The 16,884-nt window shown below is 37.8% G+C and overlaps 1 protein-coding gene across 16 annotated transcripts in view; it reads left to right on the plus strand.

Moving 5' to 3' along the window:
- Positions 1 to 16,884, plus strand: part of RABGAP1 (RAB GTPase activating protein 1) — a 173,196-nt gene that overhangs the window by 43,771 nt on the left and 112,541 nt on the right. For 14 of the 16 annotated variants that reach the window (XR_007061269.1, XM_047423130.1, XM_017014567.3 and 11 more), the window contains 4 exons: positions 9,044 to 9,278; positions 10,774 to 10,978; positions 13,856 to 14,030; positions 14,615 to 14,772. Coding sequence is in view for 15 of the 16 variants with exons in the window: in XM_047423130.1 (XP_047279086.1) it covers positions 9,044 to 9,278; positions 10,774 to 10,978; positions 13,856 to 14,030; positions 14,615 to 14,772 (773 nt within the window). In the remaining variant the exon portion in view is untranslated. Of the gene's footprint in view, positions 1 to 9,043; positions 9,329 to 10,773; positions 10,979 to 13,855; positions 14,031 to 14,614; positions 14,773 to 16,884 lie in introns of those variants that run through there. The other 2 variants (XM_047423131.1, XM_047423132.1) reach the window with 2 other exon arrangements.

Below are 16,884 nucleotides of genomic sequence, written 5' to 3' on the forward strand. Positions count from 1 at the left end.
AAGGAAACAGACTTGTAGCCAATTCTACCGTATAAGATATTGCCCTTATTTGATATATTTAGAAAGGACAAATGTTATTCCAGTATGCTGCTTTTGTACATGAATAGTAGGTGTGTTCTTAGAGTTTCTTTGGGCCACGAAAAGTAGAACTACTTGCTTTCTAAGTTTATTGTTTTCAAACCTCAACTCTAATAGGTGGATCAGAGTTTCTTTAGAAAGAGCTGAGAGTGGGGTGGAGGAATACCAACACTTATTGGATGCTATTTGGCAGGTACTGTGGTGTGAGAGTTAAATGAGATAGTTCTGTAAAAACCACACGATACAGTGCCTGAAATATACGTAAGTGCCCAATAATGTTATCAAACCCTAATAACAATCCTGTGAGATAGATATTAACATCCTCATTTTAGAGATGAGACAGTTGGGGCTCCCAGACATTAATTTGCCCTCAGTTACAGAGTTAATGTCAGAGCAATGTCCCAAAGCCAGATATGTCTTACTTGGGAGTCCAAGTATGGCTACTAAGTTCAGTTGCATAGGCTTTGCACACTACAGTTCTAGTGAGAGCCATTCAGATAATCTGTGCTGTGAATGGGGTGCCTCTTGGAGTTGTGCCACAAAACAACTCTGGGCCCAGTTTTTTTTAGTACCACCCTGCTATGTAAGCAGAATTATGAATAAACAATTCATCATGCAGTCTCCATCCCTGCAAACGTTTATGTCATATGTTTACAGTAGCTGCTAAATGCTAAATTGGCCTTTTTATGTTTATTGTTTTCCTTAACAATTCAGGACTTTCCTAAAGAACTGTTCCTTTTAATGTAGAGTACATGGAAATAAACACAAATCTAAATGTAATTCTTAGTTGTACTATTCATAAATATTTGTTTTGCTTTTTTTGTCTTCATATTTGTGCTAAATTACATTAGAAGTCTTTGTTGGACTTCAAAATATATTGTTTGTGTTTTGCACTGGGCTCTTTGCAGTGTTCTTATTGTAAATGTTAGCCCTTAATGACACTTGCTCAGAATAATGAAAACAGATGGTATTTGTTTTTGTTTTTGTATTTTAGTAGATAAAGCTAAAGTCATTCAGATTTCCTTTCTATAATTAAACCAAAATTTGTAGAATATTCAGTATCCAAGTAGGATAAAATCATACTGCTTTGGCTTCCATTCTTTGCATTTGTAACATTCAGTTCAGTAAATATGTATTTCAGGTGTATTTTGTCCCAGTCACTATCTGAAGCTTTGGGGATATAAAGATAATTTAACAAACAGTCTCTGCCCAGTCTGGTTCAAGGGACTCTCTAAACAAATATTTTCTAAAACAAGTAGCAATGCTAGAATAAACATATATGCTAATATTATGGTAGCCCTGAGGAGGGAGTGATTAAATCCTATCTAGAACGGTTAAGATCTCCCAGAGGAGATAACAGAATTTAAGGTTGGTCTTAAAGAATACACAGGAGGAGAGGATGACTTTCCAGGAAAGGAAACACTCTATACAAAGTATGGGTGCTTGAAAGTTTATGGTGGGTCCTGGGAAAGTTGAGTAGTTTGCTGTGACTAAGTGACTGGAAAGGCAGATTGAGCAGAGTTGTGAAAAGACTAATAGGATATACTTATGAATTTGGGCTTTATCTTGTGGGCATTGAGGAACCATGGAAGGATTTAAAAACAAGGCAGTGCTTGATCACAACTAAGACTGGCAATTATAAGTTGAATGGTGGCCATATGTGAAAGAGAAGAGAGAGAAAGAAGGCAGGCAAACTACTAACTGCAGTAGGCTTACGTAAAATGAAAGAGGTTGTCCTAAGGTATTAGCTATGCAGAGAAGATAGAAGGGAAAAATGGACAGACAAGGGTCAATAGGATTTGTGAGTTATATGGGAATGAGAGAAATCAAGGATGATTGTAATTCTTAATTTGGCCATGGAGTGAATGGTAGTGCAACTCATTGATTAAAAAAGGATGCAGGAGGGCTGGGTTCGGTGGCTCATGCCTGCTAATCCCAACAGGGAGGCCAAGGCGGGCAGATACTTGAGGCCAGGAGTTTGAGACCAGCCTGGCCAACATGGTGAAACCCACCCCATCTCTACCAAAAATACAAAAATCAGCTGGGCGTGATGGCGCATGCCTGTAATCTCAGCTACTCGGGAGGCTGAGACATGAGAATCGCTTGAACCCAGGAGGCAGAGGTTGCAGTGAGCAGAGATTGCGCCACTGTACTGCTCAACCTGGGCGGCAGAATGAGACTGTGTCTCAAAAAGAAAAAAAAAAGCAGGAAGAGGATCAGTGGCTTAAGTTTTGGACAGAATAAGTTTGATGTATCCAACTGAAGGTCTCTATCCAGTAGACAGTTGAGGAAGGGATTGTAGATAGAGATTTGAGATTGTTTGTTGTTGGGAGTAGATACCATACAGTGGCACAGGAGAGTCTAATAACGTGAAGTTAATGCCAAAGACAGAATCCTGGATGAGCACCTTTAGTAGGGTACATAGAAAAAAAGGAACAGTTGTGTTCTCAAATTGCATCTTTTGTGGAAATCATACTTTTTCTGTTTTATTTTAGGTCAGATTTTTTGAGGTAAAATTTACACCAATAAAATGCAACCCTCTTAGTTGTACAGTCCTGAGTTTTAACAAATGTAAAGTCTCATGTAACGACCAGCACAGTCAAGATGGGGAATACTTTTATTACTCCCAAAAGTCCCCTCGTGCATCTATTTAGTCATACCTTTATTCCCCTTCCCTGATAACCAGTGATCTGATTTCTGTCCCTATAGTTTTGTCTTTTCCAGAATGCCAGGTAAATGGAGTCATACAGTATGTAGTCTTTTTGTGTATGGCTTCTTTTACATAGAATAATGCTTTTGAGATTTGTCCATGTTATTGTGTGTATTAGTAGTTTATTCCTTTTTATTGCTTAGTAGTATTCCATTTTATAGATCTATAAGAATCTTTTTATTAATCTACTCACCAGTGAATAAACATTTGGGTTGTATTCAGTTTTTGGCTATTATGAATAATGCATTAACATTTGCAGCCGGGCATTGGTGGCTCATTCCTGTAATCTCAGCAACTTGGGAGGCTGAGATGGGAAGATCGCTTGAGCCCAGAAGTTTGAGGCTGCAGTGAGCTATGATCGTGCCACTCTCCTGCAGCTTGGTCAGCAGAGAAAAACCCTGTCTCTCAAAAAATAATTTGCAAACAGATTTTTGTGTAGACATATGTTTTTATTTTTCTTGGGTAACTAATACCTAAGAGTGAGTCATATGGTAAGTGTAATGTTTAACCTTATAAAACTTTATAAAAAATGGATAATATGACTAGACCATTTTGCATTCCTACCAGCAATGTACGAGGGTTTTCTAGTCGCTCCTTATTCTTGCCAGCCCTTCCTATTGTCAGAGTTGTTTTGAATTTTAGTCATTCATTTTATTTTATTTTATTTTATTTTACTTTATTTTATTTTATTTTAAACAGGGTCTTGCTGTGTTGCCCAGGCTAGAGTTCAGTGGCATAATCTCACTGCAGCCTCAACCTCCTGGGTTCAAGTGATCCTCCCACCTCAGCCTCTTGAGTAGCTGAGACCAAGGTGTGTGCCAGTACTTCTGGCTAATTTTTTAAATTTTTGTAGAGTCGGGGTCTCACCATGTTGCCCAGGCTAGTTTCAAACTCCTAGAGACACACAGTCCACCTGCCTCAGCCTCCTAAATTGCTGGGATTATAGGCATGAACCACTGCGCCCAGACTATAGTCATTCTTATAAGGGTATAGAGGCATCCTATTATAATTTCTATTTCCCTGATGGCTAGTAATGTTGAGTTTCTTTTTATGTGCTTATTTGCCATCTGTGTATCTTTGGTGAAATGCCCTTTTTAGTTGGGTAGTTTGTTTTCTTCTTAAGAGTTCTCTATATATTCTGGATATACGTCCTTCATCAGATATATGACTTGCAAATGTTTTCTCCAGGTCTGGCTTATCTTTTCATTCTCTTAAGAGTTTCTTTTGAGCAGAACTTTTTAATTTTAATTAAGTTCTCAAGTTTTTCTTTTATGATTCATACTTTTTATGTCCTAAGAAATCTCTATGTCACAAGATCAAAAAGATTTCTCCTGTGTTTTATTCTGTATGTTTTATAATTTTAGAGCACACTTAGGTTTGTAATCCTTTTTGAGTTAATTTTTTGTATATGATGTGAACTATTGAGATTCATGTACTTGCATATAGATGTCAGATTAATTGTTCCAGCTTCATTTGTTTTATTTGTCACTTTCTCCATTTAATAACCTTGACAGTTTTGTTGAAAATCAGTTGGCCATATATGTGTGCATCTGTTTCTGGACTCTGTTCTGTGCCATTGATCTTTATATTTGCCTCTTCACCAATACCACAATGTCTTCATTACTTTACCTGAAACTACATTTATTTTAGAGATAATTGTGGTATCTGTTAGGAATGCTATTGGCAGCAAGGAAGAGAGCCCTACTAAGAGTGGGTTTATTTTTCTGCTATAAGAAGTCTGGAGATAAGTAGTTGCTAGTTGGTTTAACTTGTTCATCCATACCAGGTTCAACAGACTATAGCCTGCTGGCCTAATCTGGTCTGCCACCTGTTTTTGTAAATAAAGTGTAATTGGAACATAGCCACATTAGTTTGTTTATACATTGTTTATGGCTGCTTTCATGCTACAAAGTCAGAGTTGAGTAGCTGCAAGAGAGACTACATATAAGGCCTGCAAAGCCTAAAATATTTATTATCTGGCCGTTTACAGAAAATGTTTCTTAACTTCTGATCTATACCATTAAGGACCCAATTTCTTTTATCCACTCATTCATTTTTGGCTCACTGACTCTTTTTTAAGACAAGGGGTCTCCTTATGTTGCCCAGGCTGGCCTCAAGTGATCCTTCCCCACAGCCTCCTGAGTAGCTGGGACTACAGGCACAGGCCACTGTGCTTGGCTTGGCTTACTGACATTTTGTTCTGTGTCACTTCATTGTAATAGTACATCCACCATGGTTCTATATTCATGTTCCAAGTCAAGAAGAAGAGAGAAAGGGGGTGACACCAGTCATGCTTGTTTCTTTTATTGGGAAAATCAACAGTCTTCCAGAAGCTTCCCAGCCAGTTTCTTTACATCTGAAAGGCTAAAATTATGTTATATGGTAAACCATAGCTGTAAGGGAGGCTGGAAACTAAGCAGTCAACTTTCCTAGCCTCTCTAGTGGAGATAGGCATGTGCCAAAAGTAAAAATCATTTGCAATTAGTCGTTTTATCATGATGAACCATTCATATTAGAAAATAAATGAACTGTATAAGTTCCTAGCCCAGTGATTTTCAAACTTTGTTACATGTGAACATCTCATGGGGTGCAAAATGTAGATTCTTGGGGCCCATGTACAGAGGTTTTTCTTGGGTGGAGTCAAGGGATTTGCATTTTCAGAAAGTACCAGAGATCATTTTGATGCCTATGTGGACCCTCTGGTAAATACTATTTTGGCATCGTAGTTTGCGATTTAGATTTGAGGCAGTGTTTCTCAGTCCTGGTTGTATATCAGAATCATCTGTGGAGGTTTTTTGTTGTTGTTGTTGTTGTTGTTGTTCTTGTTTGATAGAGTCTCATTCTGTCACCCAGGCTGGAGTGCAGTGGCGCGATCTTGGCTCACTGCAACCTCTGCTCCCCGGGTTCAAGCAATTCTCCTGTGTAGTTGGGACTACAGGTGCATGCCACAATGCCTGGTTGATTTTTGTATTTTTTAGTAGAGACAGGGTTGCACCATGTTGGCCAGGCTGGTCTCGAACTCCTGGCTTCAAGTAATCTGTCTGCCTTGGCCTCTCCAAGTGCTGGGATTATAGGTTTGAGCCACTGCACCCAGCAAAAAACCAACTTTTTAAAGCAGAACTTCTGAAAAAAGATAAATATGTATTAATGTTGACTATATGACAGATGCCATGCTGTGTATTACATGCTTCTGTTCATTTCATACTCCCTAGTAATACTGATAATTTTTTTGGATAGTCATGGTCAAAAATCATTAATCTAAGATTGTTTCTCAGAGTGCAGTTCCCAGACTAGCAACATCACTATGATCTGGGAGGTTTTCAGAAATTCAAATTATTGAATACCACCCCAGACTTAGTTAATTGGAAACTCAGGTAGGGCCCAACAGTCTGTCTTAGCAAGCTCTCCTGGTGATTCTGATGCATGTCAAAGTTTCAGAACCTTGAAAGGCACTGCTGAATGTTTCCCAGCTTGGTTTAGACAAAATTAGTTGACTGTCTTAAAAATAAAAAAGAACTTAATTGATTAAAGTATGCAGGCCGGGTGTAGTGGCTCATGACTATAATCCTAGCACTTTGGGAGGCCAAGGTGGGTGGATCACTTGAGGTCAGGAGTTCAAGACCAGCCTGGCCAACATGGCAAAACGCCGTCTCTACTAAAAATACAAAAACTAGCTGGGTGTGTTGGCACGCGCCTGTGATCCCAGCTACTTGGGAGGTTGAGGCAGAAGAATTGCCTGAACCTGGGAGGCAGAGGTTGCAGTAAGCCGAGATTGTGTTGCTGCACTCCAGCCTGGGCAACAGAGCAAGACTCTGTCTCAAAAAAAAAAAAAAAAAGTATGTGTACTATACTGTCACAGGTAGTAATTTGGAATTGGATTGAAGGTTCACAAATGATCTAACATGATAATTGTTGAGTATTGTATTTGATAAGATTATTCAAGGCATTTGTTAGGTTACTATTTTTAAACCACTCTTACCACTGTTTTGTGTATGTACATTACTTTTTCCTAGTTTTTAAGGAAGAGTTAAGGACATTGAAGACAGTTCTTATGTTTATAAAATTTATAAAGTAGGGAAGAATGCAAGATAAACGTGTAAACACAAGGCAAAGGTATAAACATGTTTTCTTTTAGGGTTAGCTACATTTCTGTGATTGGTAAGTATATTTCAACGTAGGCAGCCTATCCCAACAGAAAACTTAGGTTTACTTATGTGCCAAAGATCAAAACAGTACTTCACAGCATGTAATATGTCTTCCTTCAATTCCAGTTGCATTCCCAGTTGTAATTACTAATTGCTTCAACAGGGAATCTAATATCTTCTCTCATCTGTTTTTGGGAAGCTGTATAACTCTATTCCTATATGTTATTTCTCCCTACCCTTGGAAAAATTAGTTTAGGTTCACTTGGGCTGTCTTTTGCTTACTGCAGGTGATACAGTATTTCTTCTCCAGTTTTGAAAAGATAAGAGGCTAATTGAATCTAAGCTTTAGTTGGATTTTTAGGTGCTTTAAAAATTTTTTAAGCTGGGCGTGGTGGCACTGCCTGTAGTCACAGTTCCTGGGGAGGCTGATGAGGGAGGATCACTTGAGCCCAGGAGTTCAAGTCCACGCTGGGCAACATAGTGATATGATGTCACTTTTAAAAAAAAGTTTTTGAGACAGGGTTTTGCTCTATCACCCAGGCTGGAGTGCAGTGGCGTGATCTCGGGTCACTGCAGCCTCAACTTCTGGGCTCCAGCGATCCTCCCACCTCAGCCTCCCAGTAGCTGGGACCACAGGCACATGCTACCATGCACGGCTAATTTTTGTGTTTTTGGTAGAGATGGGGTTTCACTGTGTTGCCCAGGCTGGTCTCGAACTCCTGAGGTCAAGCAGTCTGTCCACCTCAGCCTCCCAAAGTGCTGGGATTATAGGCGTGAGCCACTGCGCCCAGCAAAAAAAAAAAAAACAAAAACTTTTTAAAGCAGAACTTCTAAAAAAAGAAATTCAGTTGCACTTGTGTATGTGTAGAATCTGATTTAACAAAGGGTTAAAATTACTCGGCCCACTTGTAATTCCATTAGCAGTAACTCCAAACATAAAATGAAATTCACAGAAACAGAAATTGTCATTGAAGCCAAGAAAGAGGTCTTTATTTCTAAGGCAAAAGTAGTTGAAGTGTTGGAATTTCCTTGGGAAAATGTCCGCAAAAAAGACTTGTCTTTTTCTCAATTATAATTTGCAGCACAAGAGACTTGAAGTTTATAGAATTATAAAAGCCTGAATCAATAAAAGTACTTGAATTGGATTTCTTGGTACCCCAGAGGTACCTACCTCTGTTATTGGAATATTGCTTCCTAGCATCTGTGTTAATTTTGCTAGGGTAGGCCTCATTCTCTTAGCCCTGCCCAATTTAACTTTTTGTTAGGTTTTAGTCTTCAGAAAGCCTCCTAAATCAGGGCTCCCTCTTTTTTCCCATGACTTCGTTTTTCTAACTCAATTCTTTTGTTAATTTTTTTAGTATTTCTTAAGCATTTAGTGACAATACTGCATTATGTCACTTGTGGTTTTCCTTGGCATTGGGCAGTCTCCACTGGATTTTGCACTTACTTGCTTCCTTGTTGAGGAACTAGTAATAACCCATCATGACTCCATAGAATTACTTGATATTATTGAAATAGAGTGCTTTTATTTCTCAGGACTATTTTGTACATTCATGTCAGCTTTACTCAAGTGTTTCAGAACTTTCAGAACCTGTTCATATCATGTAACTCTTCCTCAGAAATACAAGAGACTTGCATATGACTGGAGTGGTAAAATACCTGTGGAAATGTATTGCCTAATATGTATGTTTCTGTTGATACCTTTTGGAAGCAAGCACATTTTTCCCTTTTTCTTAAGGGCTAGAGGAGACACTAAGATGTTCTTCTTAAAAGCGTTATTTCTTATCAGACAAAATTATAGATCCTTTAATTATTGTTAGTTTAGGACACAGTAAAAGACTTTAATAACATTGGCAGGCTATCGCATATATTTCTGGGTATTAGTCTCAAGTTCACTATGTACTTTTTCATGAAAAACTATGTAATTGAGAGAGCAGCTGCACCCTTATTTGTTGCAGATCTTGATTTATTCTATTTTTAAAAAAAACATTCAGAAGATATCTTTGTATCAAAAGAAATGCTAATGATTTTCTTTAGAATGTGAACCCATTTTAATCAATACTGGCCAATCTTTGTCACTTTGCTGATTGCATGTATTTGTGACCCTTAGATTGTAGGGAATGGAAGTGAACAGCAGCTGCAAAAAGAGCTAGCAGATGTACTGATGGATCCTCCAATGGACGACCAGCCAGGGGAAAAGGAGCTTGTGAAAAGGTCACAACTGGATGGTGAAGGAGATGGGCCTCTTTCTAATCAGCTCTCCGCTTCATCCACCATTAACCCTGTGCCATTAGTAGGGCTCCAAAAACCAGAGATGAGCCTACCAGTGAAACCTGGACAAGGAGGTTAGGATTGCTGCATTGCTTGCGTAACTGAAGGTTATTGTTTTTAATATGTGAGTGTCCACCCTGTACTAGGTTTTATTTAGAACAGGCAAAACCATTGTCTACAAAAACAGGCAAAAACATTCTCTAGAATCTCTGAATTCTAAATCTAAGGGGATGTGAGAGGAGTAAAAATATATATACCATTCTGATTTCCTTTTAAATGTATTTCACTTGTACCAAGGAAAGAGAAAACATGGCTAAAGGACACAGAGGGAGTCTTTTTTTTTTTCCCCCCAGGAATGCTTAAAGATTTTTCAAATAAAGAAGGAATATGAGTACAATATTAGAGAAATGGAGGGATAATTCTGGGTGAACAGATGTTTGCTCCAGACCTATATAGCTCTATGGGAGCAGTTGCCAAGTTGAAAAAGGAAGACTAGAACATGGGACAGAAAGACATAGCATGGGAGGAGAAGGACAACTTAAAAGACTCATTTGGAAAAGCAGGTGCTAAAACTATAGATGTTATTGGGAAAGGAAAGCCAAAGGGATTAAGAGAACATAATGAAGTGGCTAAGATGATGAATTAGAGAAATAATTGTAACAGTGCAGCTCAGAAAGATGACAGTTAGGCCGGGCGCAGTGGCTCACGCCTGTGATCCCAGCACATTGGGAGGCCGAGGCAGGTGGATCACAAGGTCAGGAGATCGAGACCATCTGGCCAACATGGTGAAACCCTGTCTCTATTAAAATACAAAAAATTAGCCAGGCGTGGTGGCACGCACCTGTAGTCACAGCTACTTGGGAGGCTGAGGCAGCGGGAATTGCTTGAAACCAGGAGGTGGAGGTTGCAGTGAGCCGAGATTGTTCCACTGCACTTCAGCCTGGCGACAGAGCGAGACTCCGTCTCAAAAAAAAAAAAAAAAAAAAAGATGACAGTCAGAGATAGGAGTTTCAGAGTGAAGAAATACTAAATGTATATTCGACCTAAATGTAAATTACAAAGTCAAAACAAATTAGAAGAGGCAGAAAGGTGAATCAAATCTGAGTCTGATTGAGACCGACTCTAATAGCACTATATTTTGAGTATCCTTTGTCTGAAATGCTTGGGACCAGAAGTGTTTCAGATTTCAGATGTTTTTGGATTTTGGAATATGCATATAATTACCTGCTGAGCACCCCAAATCCAATAATTCAAAAACTGAAATGCCCCAAATAGTACTTCTTTTAAGTGTCATGTAGGTACTCAAAAGGTTTTGAAATTTGAAGCATTTCATGTTTCAGATTTTTGAATTTAGGATGCTCAACCTGTACCTAAAAATCTTGGTGTTTCTGACAGAGTTCTAGTGTGGGATTTCTGGTTTTCATGGGCATTTCTTTTAGGGTATGGCATATTGTCTCATTAATACTTAATTTTAGACCTTAAATGTTACTTGCAGATTTTTACTTGCTAATCGTATCAACAAAATATCAAAGTGAAAGTAATCACTTCCTTATTCATTGTTTCTTTCAGATTCTGAAGCTTCAAGTCCTTTCACACCAGTGGCCGATGAGGACAGCGTAGTTTTCAGTAAACTGACTTACTTAGGCTGTGCCTCGGTAAATGCTCCCAGGAGTGAAGTGGAAGCCTTAAGGATGATGTCCATCTTAAGAAGCCAGTGTCAGATTTCACTAGATGTTACCCTTTCAGTGCCGAATGTGTCTGAAGGAATTGTGAGGTGAGACTGGTTTGTTGAAATCTTTCGATATTTACATCAGATCTCTGACCTGTTGCTTCAGAAAGAAGCAATAGTGAATAAAATACATATTAATAGTTATTTTACTTGTGTAACGTTTCATTTACCTGGCACTCATGTCTCCCAAGGACTGTGACCTTTGTGAAAAATGGTTACTTATTTGTAATAGTTTTTCGTACTCTTCCCGATCATGTGTAGTACATTAGGCATTTAATGTTTTGGGGATAAATGAAATATATTGACATGAGTCAGCCTAAAAGATTATATTTTCCATGTTCCTTTGATGAAAATACAAGCTTGACACATTATTTCAAAATGGAGTTTCATGTTGAGTTTGAAAGTTACAAAAATTTATTATTAAATATTAACTATACCAGCACACCCCTTAATTTTTATGATGAGAAAACTGGCTAGGTGCAGTGGTTCATGCCTGTAATCCCAGCATTTTGGGAGGCTGAGACGGGTTGATCACTTAAGTTCAGGGGTTCGAGACCAGCCTGGGCAGCCTGGGCAACATGGTGAAACCCTGTCTGTACAAAACATACAAAAATTAGCCACGCATGGTCATACACACCTATAGTCCCAGCTACTCAGGAGGCTGAAATGGGAGGATCACCTGAGCCTGGGAGTTCAAGGCTTCAGTGAGCTGTGATCATGCCACTTCACTCCAGACTGAGTGACAAAGTGAGACCCTGTCTCAACAAAGCAAAATGAAAAAAAAAGATGAGAAAACTGAGGCACAGAGAAGCCTCTAGCTGTTTATACTAATAGAACAAATAACAATTGCAGATAGCTAATCAGATGTCTGTATCAACCAGCTAAATATACTGTTGCTCAATAAGTCAGATGAATGCAGGTAAAATAAATTTTTTTTCCCTATTACCAAAGATACATGCTTATTTAAAAAAATTGCCACATAAAAATAGCCTTAATTCTACTCTACCACTAATAAATACAGTTAACATCTTGGCTTATTAAGATCTTCTTTGCATATTGGTATATGTATATGTCTAGGTATATGTAAATATACCTGCATATATATACATACATAATTTACAACTGTTAGAATCAACTTTTTTTTTTAACAGCAATGGACCTGTACATACCATCTTGTACTTAGTTTTATATCGTAAACCTCTTTTCATGCCAGTAAATATTATTAAAAATTTTAATTTATGATGGCATATGAATGGGTTATAAATAAATAACCCATCTCTTATATTAGACATTTTAAGGCTTTTATCTTTCAGAGAAAAAAGCATGAATGATGATAGCTAGTTTTAATTATATGGGAATATCAGTGTTTTATAAATAGGTATCTTTGAGCTCAATCTTTTTAGACTTCTGTTGATTTCCTTAGGATAAATTCCTAGAAGTAAACTTATTGAGTTTGTCTATTTTTATTGCTTCTAATAACATTGCCAACTAGCCATCTAGAAATATTGATCTAGTTTATACTTTTATCAGCAGTATATAGAATATCCATTTCTCAGTATCCTCAGAAGTATTTTGGACTTTCATGGTGACAGAGTAATAGCTGTGTGTTGATTGTAGTAAAATAATCTGTATATGTAATTTTTCCCCTTAAGTATTTAAATAACTATTTTGCAAAGACTCACAAATTCTATTTATTAATGATAAACTATTAATAAAATGTGTTTAGCACTCATTTCTATATGTTTCTTAGTCAATACTCATTCCTCTAACTGAAGTTAGACTTTAATATATTTTTAATTCTATAAAAGAAGTTAGAAAGCTAGTCGGTTTTACCCCACATTTTTAGAGTTTTCATAAAAGTGCTTTCAAACCTGTGTTAGATCCTCTTCCTAGGTATTTCCGTGATGAGCAAGGCCTTCTAGGCTTTCCCATTAATGGCTCTACCCACATAGTGTTGAAATTGCATAGTTTCTTTTTAGACCTTCCATAGTTGTGCCTTACTGCCCTGATCAGAGTCTGGAATGTTGTAGGTATCACATAAATATTTGTTGAATAAGTAGATTTTTGAATGAATGCTATCCCTTTGATTTTTTACTGAATGGCATCCTTTTGCTTTTATTCATGATTTTTTTTTTTTTGAGGAGTTAACATTTTGTATAATTTCTGTCCTTATTTTCCATGAATCAAAAAAAAACTTGTTTCAGTCTGAGAAAAAGCATCAGTTTTTTGTTTTTTATTTTTTCATAACAGATTAGGTCATTTTTAAAGGAGATAATTAGAAGCACAGCTTTGCCCAGGTGTGGTGGCTTATGCCTGTAATCCCAGCACTTTGGGAGGCCTAGGTGGGCGGATCACCTGAGGTCGGAAGATTGAGACCATTCTGGCTAACCTGCCCTGTCTCTACTAAAAATACAAAAAATTAGCCGGGCATGGTGGCACATCCCTGTAATCCCAGCTACTTGGGAGGCTGAGGCAGGAGAATCACTTGAACCCAGGAGGCGGAGGTTGCGGTGAGCTGAGATTGCGCCATTGCACTCCAGCCTGGGCAACAAGAGCGAAACTTGTCTCAAAAAAAAAAAAAAAAAAGCACAGCTTCAATGATGTATTTTGGTAGTCTAATTTACGTATTAATCGTCTTTATTTTGTAGCAGACTGTATAAGAAATGTGCTTATTGATATTGTTTATACCTTTCTGTTTGCCTCCCTAAAACATGATACTATATGGTTTTTAGTACTATGGAATTACGTAATCAATAGCTTCCGGAATTCACATATGAGTTACTTATTAAAATTTAAGGTTAATATCAGCATACCAAATATATGATCTTCTTACTAGAAAGAATGAGTCTCACATCTTAATCTAAACGTAGTGCAGATTGTTCATAATTCCTGTAATCTCTCTGTATCTTTTTCTCTGAACAGACTCTTAGATCCTCAGACAAACACTGAAATAGCAAACTACCCTATCTACAAAATCCTCTTCTGTGTCAGAGGGCATGATGGAACTCCTGAGAGTGACTGTTTTGCTTTCACTGAAAGTCATTACAATGCAGAGCTCTTCAGAATACACGTCTTCCGGTGTGAAATACAAGAAGCTGTAAGTCCTCAAGAGAAAACTCTCTGCAAATGAAACTTCACCAGTGCCCTCACTAGGTTGAAATGATTATGGTATTTATTATGATCACTCATAAGCCAGATGAAATTCTCTGCTATTGTTTTAGTGATTCTAGCCTCATGGGCCAAAATATAAATTAACTAAAAATTTGATTAACTAGAACTTTGTTACTACTACTAAGAATGTCAGAGGAGATCTGTTGGCTACTTTTGATTGGGTTAAGTAGGCATTCTGGTTCTAACATTGACAGATTTGCAAACCATTCTTTTAAATCAAAACTTGTTAGGACTGTTTTCATTGTAATATCTTCAGATAGTTTCTAACAATTTAGGAAGTGATTTTTAAATTGGATTTATAGTGCTTACAACCATTTCTTTTTTAAAACCCCTTGTCTGGACATTTTTAGTGTTGCTTGCTTTATAGGCCTAACAAATTAGGTAATTTACCAAAAGAAATAAGTGGGATAAAGATAATTATTGCCCTCCAAAGTAGGTAATCTTCCAGCCTTAATAAAGGTATTTTATATCTTTTGATAACAGCCCATTTCCTAACATGTCTGGTTGTAGGTAAGCCGGATACTTTACAGTTTTGCCACTGCCTTCCGCCGTTCTGCCAAGCAGACCCCACTTTCAGCCACTGCTGCACCCCAGACTCCTGACAGTGACATCTTTACCTTCTCTGTGTCTTTAGAAATAAAAGAAGATGATGGTAAAGGTTATTTTAGGTAGGGAATCTTATTTTATTCATGTATTAACATGCTGTGGTTCAGGGGAAATTCTAGGTCAGATTATAACTTTCATACCATAAAATGATGGCTTTTAAAGGGAGGGCTTTTAAAAAAAATCTGGATGATAAAGGCATATAAATACATAAATTTAACAGAGGCAAAGTTTGAAGAATTTTAAAGCAATTAAAAAAATTGTCATATTGGGAACATGTTGCTACCTTCTTTTAGTCAGATACCAAGTGGCTAACTGCTCACAAAAATATGGCCAAACCGCCAGGCGCTGTGGCTCACACCTGTAATCCCAGCTCTTTGGGTGGCTGAGGCGGACGGATCACCTGAGGTCGGGAGTTCGAGATGAGCCTGACCAACATGGAGAAACCTTGTCTCTACTAAAAATACAAAATTAGCCGGGCGTGGTGGTGGGTGCCTGTAATCCCAGCTACTTGGGAGGCTGAGGCAGGAGAATCGCTTGAACCCGGCAGGCAGAGGTTGCAGTGAGCCGAGATCCTGCCACTGCACTCCAGCCTGGGCAACGAGAACGAAACTCCGTCTCAAAAAAAAAAAAAAAAAAAAAAAAAAAATATATATATATATATATATATATATATATATATATATATGGCCAAAGCTTAGTCAGCTGGATTTGTAGCTATATTTGTTTTGCTGATTGTATTTGCTTGTTTTAGTTGGTTGATTTACTTATATTAATAATCTAAAAATCTTAAGCCTTTTCAAGTCAAGTTTTCCCAGTAAAGTTATCTGCATACATTGGAAGGGGAGAAATAAGGTCTGTGTCTGAAGTCTAATCTTTTGTAGGGTTAGAAGTGACTGATTTTAATTTTTAAATATAATGATAATCCTTTGAGTGGTGGAAAGAACCATGGAATAGAAGTCAAAACTTAGCTTTAGTTTAATTATTGTTACTATTAACAGTGTCCCCATTTCCAAGTTTCTTTACATCTGTCAGTAGTTTCCTCATTTATTAAATGAGGTGGCTAGACTCTAAAACCCTTTCTCACTTTAAAATTTTATGGTTGCAAGATGACTTGATGTTTTTAAAATTACAGCCCATGTCCCAAAATGATTGTATTATAATCAGTAATTGCATGTAGAAGTCTGTTTCCTCCATGACTACCTCATTAAATTGGTAAAATGAAGTTATATAAAAATATGAATATTTCTAATATTTTGCTTTTAAATTAAGCACAGTGATTGGTTTATTAGATTATTAGAAAAACTGATAATTTTTAGTCTTTCTTCAGACTTTGGAATTGTCATGCCATCTGGTGGCCAATTTAGTGTACAGTGCAGCTTAAACTTTGAGGAGTAAAGTATGACTCATTGTGCTCTATGCTTTCTAATTAGATAGATTTCTATTCTCTCTCTCTCTTTTTTTTTTTTTTTTGAGATACGCCTCACGCTGTTGCTCAGGCTTGAATGCAATGGTACAAACATGACTCACTGCAGCCTCAGCCTTCTGGTCTCAAGCAGTCCTCCCACCTCGCCCTCCTGAGTAGCTGGGACCACGGATGCATGCCACTATGTCTGGCTAATTTTTTTTTAAGTTTTTCTAGAGATGGGGTCTTGCCACATTGCCCAGGTTGGTCTTGAACTCGTGGTCTCAAGTGATAGTCTCAGCTTGTCAAAGTGTTGGGATTACAGGCATGAGCCAACCATTCCTGACTATTTCTATTCTCAAAGCAATGCTGTGAGGTAGTCCTTCCTGCAATGTACCTTCCTGCCCTGCAAAGTGAAAATTATAATCTGTATAATTTTAAGTAGTTTTTTACCTTGTTAAGCAACCTTTAAACTAAATATATTTTCTTTCTTTTTTTTTTGAGACAGAGCCTTGCTCTGTCACCAAGGCTGGAATGTAGTGGCACGATCACGGTTCACCGCAACCTCTGTCTCCCAGGTTCAAGCAATTCTCATGCCTCAGCCTCCTGAGTAGCTGGGATTACAAGCATCTGCCACCATACCGGGCTAATTTTTTCTATTTTTCAGTAGAGACAGGGTTTCGCCGTGTTGGCCAGGCTGGTCTCAAACTCCCGGCCTCAAGTGATCCATTTACCTGGGCCTCCCAGAGTGCTGGGATTATAGGCATGATTC

Source organism: Homo sapiens, chromosome 9 (assembly GCF_000001405.40).
Source record: "Homo sapiens chromosome 9, GRCh38.p14 Primary Assembly".
In the NCBI taxonomy this organism is placed as follows: Eukaryota; Metazoa; Chordata; class Mammalia; order Primates; family Hominidae; genus Homo; species Homo sapiens.